The 6,644-nt window shown below is 42.0% G+C and overlaps 4 annotated features.

Moving 5' to 3' along the window:
- Nucleotides 925-1,532: an enhancer, noted in NCBI's record as "OCT4-NANOG-H3K27ac hESC enhancer chr2:177314476-177315083 (GRCh37/hg19 assembly coordinates)". NCBI's record gives its function as "activates a minimal SCP1, AML or CMV promoter by ChIP-STARR-seq in primed H9 embryonic stem cells {active_cell/tissue: H9 hESC(primed)}" and the evidence as "EXISTENCE:reporter gene assay evidence [ECO:0000049][PMID:30033119]".
- Nucleotides 1,098-1,392: a silencer, noted in NCBI's record as "tiled region #8538; HepG2 Repressive non-DNase unmatched - State 21:Repr". NCBI's record gives its function as "represses a minimal TATA promoter and a strong SV40 promoter by Sharpr-MPRA in HepG2 cells {active_cell/tissue: HepG2}" and the evidence as "EXISTENCE:reporter gene assay evidence [ECO:0000049][PMID:27701403]".
- Nucleotides 6,118-6,412: a silencer, noted in NCBI's record as "tiled region #13302; K562 Repressive DNase matched - State 12:CtcfO". NCBI's record gives its function as "represses a minimal TATA promoter and a strong SV40 promoter by Sharpr-MPRA in K562 cells {active_cell/tissue: K562}" and the evidence as "EXISTENCE:reporter gene assay evidence [ECO:0000049][PMID:27701403]".
- Nucleotides 6,329-6,378: a silencer, noted in NCBI's record as "silent region_12137". NCBI's record gives its function as "represses an Ori minimal core promoter by ATAC-STARR-seq in GM12878 lymphoblastoid cells {active_cell/tissue: GM12878}" and the evidence as "EXISTENCE:reporter gene assay evidence [ECO:0000049][PMID:35858748]".

A 6,644-nucleotide genomic window follows, 5' to 3' on the forward strand; every position in this document is an offset into this window, starting at 1 on the left:
TATTTATCTTCAGTGGCATAAAATGGAATGTGTCCTTTGCCCTGGTCACACTTTATCTGTCCCCTCCATTTTATAGGGATTTTTTTTTCTTAAATAAATCTTTCCCAAGCATAATAAAAATCTAATTGATCCTTTCTTTGGGGACGTTCATAACCAGATCTTTGATGAAATGCCCCATAATGGTTCTAAATGAGGTGTATTGAACTGTTTTGTCAATTCATTGCAGGAACAGTGGCATTGCCAATATTAAGCACGAGGTAAACAGATCTTATAAAAAGTACTACAGAAGGAGTATAATGTTTGCCTTTTAAAGCCACTGTTTTATATTTTAGATCTTTTAAATATAGTTTGAGAATGTTCAACACTATTAGATAATGAAACTAAAAATGCCATTCAATGTAAAGCCCCGCTAACAAGGCTTGGCTTTCTGTGAAGGGTATTGCCAGAAGTTCCCTTTTGCTTCTCTACCTTTCACAGCTCCCCAGACAACATTCATCCCTTCATTCATTCACTCAGTCACCCATCCAATCATTCCTTCATTCATTCACTCAGTCACCCATCCAATCATTTCTTCATTCATTCAACTATTGTTTATTAAATGCTCGCCACGAGCCATGAGGGGAACATATTTGAACTCAGCTTTGAATATGTCTTTGTTTCCAAAAAGTGTGTCTCTCAAGGTACACTGCCCATATGTATTTCTTACACTCACTGGTCTCCCCTGTGTTACTGGGAAGACTCTTTAACCCTCATTAAATGAATAAATCCCTGCTGCTGGTCATAGGGAGGACACCATAAATGCAGCTTCTCGAGAAGCAGTTCTATCTTGAACTGATGCTTGCAGTTGAGAGGCCTTCATGAGTTTCAGTTTGGGCTCGCATCTGAAACTCCATTTTGTTTTCTTCCTTGCCATATCTCAGATTAGTAGTTATCAGCACCTCTCCTGTCTCATTTTTACCTGCTCCCCAGGGCCTCCTGTAGTGACTTGCATGTTTGCAAGCCCCATGGCCTGTTTCTTCAAGTTGGGACATCCTAAACACATCCTCAAAATTGATAAAAATCTGTCTAGCTGTTTTGGTATGATGTGGTGACAAAAAAGATAGAAACTTAACTTTAGATGTATGGAACAAAGATAAAGCTTGGTAGTATGCTACAGAGAATTCCTGCAGGTTCAAAATGAGTTCAAGTGTGTGGCAACAAGGCTCTCTCCCTTTTGATGCAGATTCAGGAATTTGGATGCCATGAATTTCAATAGCATCAGCTTTGGTTTCAAGCGCCTGTTTCAGGGCTCCTCCCCGACTTTCCACCATCTGGAATCTGAGTGGTTAATGGGAGAGGCTGTAAATACCGAATCATTTTGTCTTCTCCTTGTCTGTCCCTGCAGTGGGGTTTGTTCACATGAAAGCTACATTCTGCAGGAAAGGCATCATGCACCAAGGAGAAAAATGGCATTTCTTGTCAACTTTGACTTTTTCACACACTTTCTCCAAATTCTACTCTGAGAGACTGTGATAACTTTTTTTGAAAGTCAGAATCTGAAGGAAAAGCTGCTTTCCAACTAGCTACAGGGGCATTTCTTGAGATGTAAAGTTGTGATTACATGTGAAAAAGTCTGACCATACTATGAATTATTAATTAACATTGATGTCCTATCAATCAGACAGTGCATTTATAGTTAGATATAAGTTAGAGCAAGTCAGCCATCCTAATTGGCACTCTGGAGGGAAGGAGACTCAGACAATCCCTGCAGAAACCCCTTCTGCTCTAGGGATATGGCGTCTATTTACCCTCCAGACAGTATTAATTCTTGCAAATATCTGGACAGCTTGTTGTTCCAGTGCCAGCTTTCACAAATTGCAGTATAAAGGAGGACCAGTTATTTATTGTTGGGTAACTAACCACTCAAGAGATAGCGGTGTGAAACAACAACCATTAATTTCTTGATTTTGTAATTTGTGCTGGGTTCATCTCCATGGTTCTTCTGCTTATCTTGCCTCCTGGAGTCACCTATGTGGCAATTGATTGGTGGGTTGCTTGGAGGCTGGCTGGTGGGGACCATCTCATTCATATGTGAGTGAATTGCTGGAACAGCTTGCTGTCTGGGCCTCTCTACTTGGCCTTATCCTCAAGGAAGCTAGCTTGGGCTTTCCTATATGGTGATAGCGGTGTTTCAGAAGAGTGAGAGTGGAAGCTGCAAGATCTCTTAAGGCCTGGGCTTGGAAGCCTCACAACAACACTTCTGTTGGTCAAAGTAAGTCACAAGCGCAGCCCTGATTCAAGGAGTAGGAAAATGGATTCCATCTCTTTAAGAAAAGAGCTGCAAATAATTCATGGCCCTGCTTCATCTACGCAGGTAGGAGGAGTCAGTGTTAGAGCCATTGGCCCCTATAAATGTGGGCTGCTGGGATGTTTCTTTAATGTCAGGTGAAAATTCACTTTGGGAAAGGAGTTGCAAAGTGAGCCCAGGTTATGGTCTTTCTACTGTCAGATCAACCCTTGGCAATAAGCTCCTGCACTCTTGCCAGATGATTTTTCTAAGATTCAACTCTGATTGTATCACTCTCAAGCTCATACCTTAGTGGTTTCCTTTCTCCTGGAGTCTACAATTCTCATTCTTTTTTTGAGAGGAAGTTTCACTCTTGTTGCCCAGGCTGGAGTGCAGTGGCATGATCTCAGCTCACTGCAACCTCCACCTCCTGATTTCAGGTGGTTCTCCTGTCTCAGCCTCCCAAGTAGCTGGGATTACAGGCACCCACCACCATGCCAGGCTATTTTTTTGTTTTTTTAGTAGAGATTGGGTTTCACCATGTTGGCCAGGCTGACCTCAGGTGATCTGCCCACCTTGGCCTCCCAAAGTGCTGGGATTACAGGTGTGAGCCACTGTGACCGGCCTATAATTCTCATTCTTTAGCATGGCCACTCACAGTCTGGCTCTTGTCCACCTTTGAATCATCTCTCATGATTTCCCCATGAGTAAGCTTTGCTTCTTGCAGTATCTATTTGTTCCATGTGCTTGTATGCTTTGGTGCAGTTCCTGATGCCTAGAACCTCCTTTCTAGGTTTGTTAAGGATCAGGTGGCTCGCAAAGCTTTCTGCAAGACAGCCTCAGCTAAGTTAGGCTCCCCTCCCTGCACTCCCCTCTGGTGTCCACAGCATCCTGTGTGTGAAGGCTGGTCTCCTTGACCTCCGCTCCACCAGACTGCAAGTCCCTTGAAGGCAAGAACTATGCCTTATTTCTCTCTGTTGCTCCTAGCCCAGTGTTGGGCATGTAAAGGGAGCTTGAAATATGTCAGCAAACATATGATTATATAGTAAAATCTCTTTGGGATTTATTTCCTACTGTTTTTGATAAAAAGACCCCAACTGTCCTTTGGGCTCCCCAGGATGTACAAATATGGAGACACACCATGGAGCAGTCTCCAGGCTTGTTTGTGGGTCATGAGAGATCCTGGTATTTCTCACCACTTCCAAGGCTCTGCCTGGCCCCTCTTCCCAGCACCAAGGTCTCTGGATTCTTTCTTTTTCTTTCTGTATTTTAGAATTATGCCATCACATAATCCTTATCAGTGAAAAGTTCTTTTTGGGTGTAAAAGAAACCATCAAGAAGTGGCAAAACAAACAAACAAAAAAAAAAGCAATATTAAAATCTTGGCCAGGCACGGTGACTCACGCTTGTAATCTTAGCACTTTGGGAAGCCGAGGCAGGCGGATCATATGAGGTCAGGAGTTCAAGACCAGCCTGGCTAACATGGTGAAACCCCGTCTCTACTGAAAACACAAAAATTAGCTGGGCGTGGTGGCAGGTGCCTGTAATCCCAGCTACTCGGGATGCTGAGGCAGGAGAATCACTTGAACCCGGGAGATGGTGGCTGCAGTGAGCCGAGATCGTACCACTGCACTCCAGCCTGGGTGACAGAGCAAGACTCTTTAAAAAAAAAATCTTATCTTCAAATTGCCTATGGAGTCCACGAGAATCCCAGGAAGATGGCACATAAATACTACTTCCCAGCCATGCATGTGACCACTGGAAAAATGCTACCCTGGACTGATATGGAGTCATTAATCAGGTGTCATGCAGTGGTCCAAAATGGCCCTTACGCATCTATAGTGGACTGAGGAAAATCACTCTCCATCCATGTCAGGCCATGACCACCCTGATCATTCACTGAGGCCACCTGGGCCTTGTCACAGCCACTGGCAGCAAAGGCAGCTCACTGTGCTCTTTCACCATTCAACAGCTGCTCCAGGAGAAGGTGTGGTAAGGAGGAGTCAGGCCAGAGGAAGTGAGAAGGAAATGAGAAGAGGTGATGGCATGGGGGTGAGAGATGGAGCAAGGAGAGGGAAGGAGGGGGTCAGGCCTGCTTTCCCCTTCTGTTGCCCTAAGCATGGCCAATCTGTTTCTCCTCTGTGATTTCTTTATCGTCTGGGCTGTCAAGGGTAGAATTTCCAGTTTTCTCTGGCACATATTATAAAGTATTGGGGACAGAGGAGTATTGAACTTGAAGCTCCATAAACCTTGCAAATTTCAGCCCATAACTGATTTTCTAATAGTGCTGTTAATGTTTTTTCCTTTCAAAACCCTCAATCAATGTTGATTACCAAAGGCTTCTGTGTCTCTCCAAAAATAGCTGAACTTGCTTTTTGGGGGAATGTTTGAATAAATATTTGCTCTTATATGATACTATACACTAAGTCTTTAAATAAAACTGGGTTTAAATGAAACCAAAGGGAAGAATCATAACCTTTTACCCTATGCCAGTCACCGTGCTAAGTTTTTTGTGTGCCTTATTTCATTTATCCTCACTTCACCTCTGTGAGGTAGCATCTACTGGTATTATCTCCTGATGGGGAAATGGATATTAGTGTGATTGAGTTGGTTTAGTAAGGCCACACAGATAGTGATGGAAAGAGCTGGAAATATCCTACTTCTGCATAACCAAGTGCTCCCAACCACTTCCCTAAATGAATATAGGTCAATATATATGTGTACATATATCAGTCCTCCTCACCCAGTACCAATTTTTATTGAACATGTACTATGTGCCAAGGACTAGACTAGATACCTTCCAAAGGTCTTCACATTTCATTAAAATAGCCACTCACTAGCTGAGTTTGTATACAACTATTGCCCCTTCTCTACTAAGAGATAACGTAACATGTTGATTTAATACTTGGACTTTGGTTTCAGACAGGCTGGGTTCAAATCTTGACTTGTTTATGTGCTGTTTATTGCATATTCTGGCAAGTTACTTAATTTCTCTGTGCCTCAATTACCTCTCTGTGACAACACATAAGAGTAGTATCCACGTTATGAGGTTTAAAGGACTTAAAATTTCAAGAATGCCTAGAACAGTGACAGATACCACCTAAGTTCTATAGGAGTTTGATTAATAAGTGAACTGGCTTTTAAAACATGGCTCAGGCTGCAAAGAGAATAGGGTGAATAGTGAACTCTTGCTAGAGAATAACTCCTGCAAGAAAGATATTTAAAAGAAAATGAAAAAAAAACTATCAAATTACAAAATCTATCACAAGTTTAAAATGAGAATATTACCCACATGTGTCTACGGAGCTGTGAAGTGTGAGAGTAATGAGCTAAACTGTCTAAGTTTATTCAAAAAACAAAAGTAATAGGTCTCTTAAAATGTTTAAATAACAATGGCTGGTGATACTGGATCTTGGTTTTGAGAGGAGAACACTGTTGTCCACTTCTGAATTATTTGCTTCCAAGATGTTTTTGGATTGTCTAAAACAGGGTTAATTATTTCAGCTAATGAGTGGATTATTTATTATAATTATTTATGCACTGCCAGGGGAACATGAGGTGCTTTCCACACAGGCTTAAGTTGCCAAGGAACACAGTTGACCCTTGAGAAATTAAATAACTGGAGGCCAGTTTTATACTGATACACATATGCATTATTGATGCAGGCTTTTATGAGACAGTCTAGAAATGTCTTGTGCCCTTTGAGTTGATCATGAAAATCAGGCAAGCCTATCTTGAAACTTTTGTGGGCATGTATTCAACCTTCTTCATAATCTATATTTAATTTCCTTGACAGTCATCTTTCCTCAGATTTTGCTTTTAATCCTTGCTATAAGAACCACTACTCATCAAAATGTCCATTTTCATAAGAGGTGGGAGGAAGGCTTCCTAGAGGGGAGTGTCTGCTTTGAAGGAGGAAGCAGAGGGTTAGAGAAATCAAAATATCAATTATCTGTAAGGTCGGCTGCTGCAGAGCAAAGCTATAAAACCGAGAGAGTTTACTGCAAAAGGGTGCCCCCTGCTGGGGACTCTTTGAACTGCACGGTCATCCGTTCTGAAGATTTAGCTCAGCTCAGCCCAGAAACCTAATGCAGCTGCTGGAGAGGGGCCTCCTTCCCCCAGCACACAACTCGTGGTCCCAGACATCTCTCCCAGATGTTTCTTTATGACCCGTCAAAATGTTTGCTAAATATCATCTGTTAATTTCCCAAACATCCTGGCTCTAGTTCTTTTATGTGTAACCTGATTCAAGATCTTAAAATAGCTGACAGCAAAATAAAATATAAAATAAAACATGAAGGTGCATTTGTCCTGAAACATCAACAAAGTGTGCTGTTCAGTAGGATTCCAATCTCAAAGGACATTTATTCATCACGAT

This window comes from Homo sapiens, chromosome 2, assembly GCF_000001405.40.
Source record: "Homo sapiens chromosome 2, GRCh38.p14 Primary Assembly".
Classification (NCBI taxonomy): domain Eukaryota; kingdom Metazoa; phylum Chordata; class Mammalia; order Primates; family Hominidae; genus Homo; species Homo sapiens.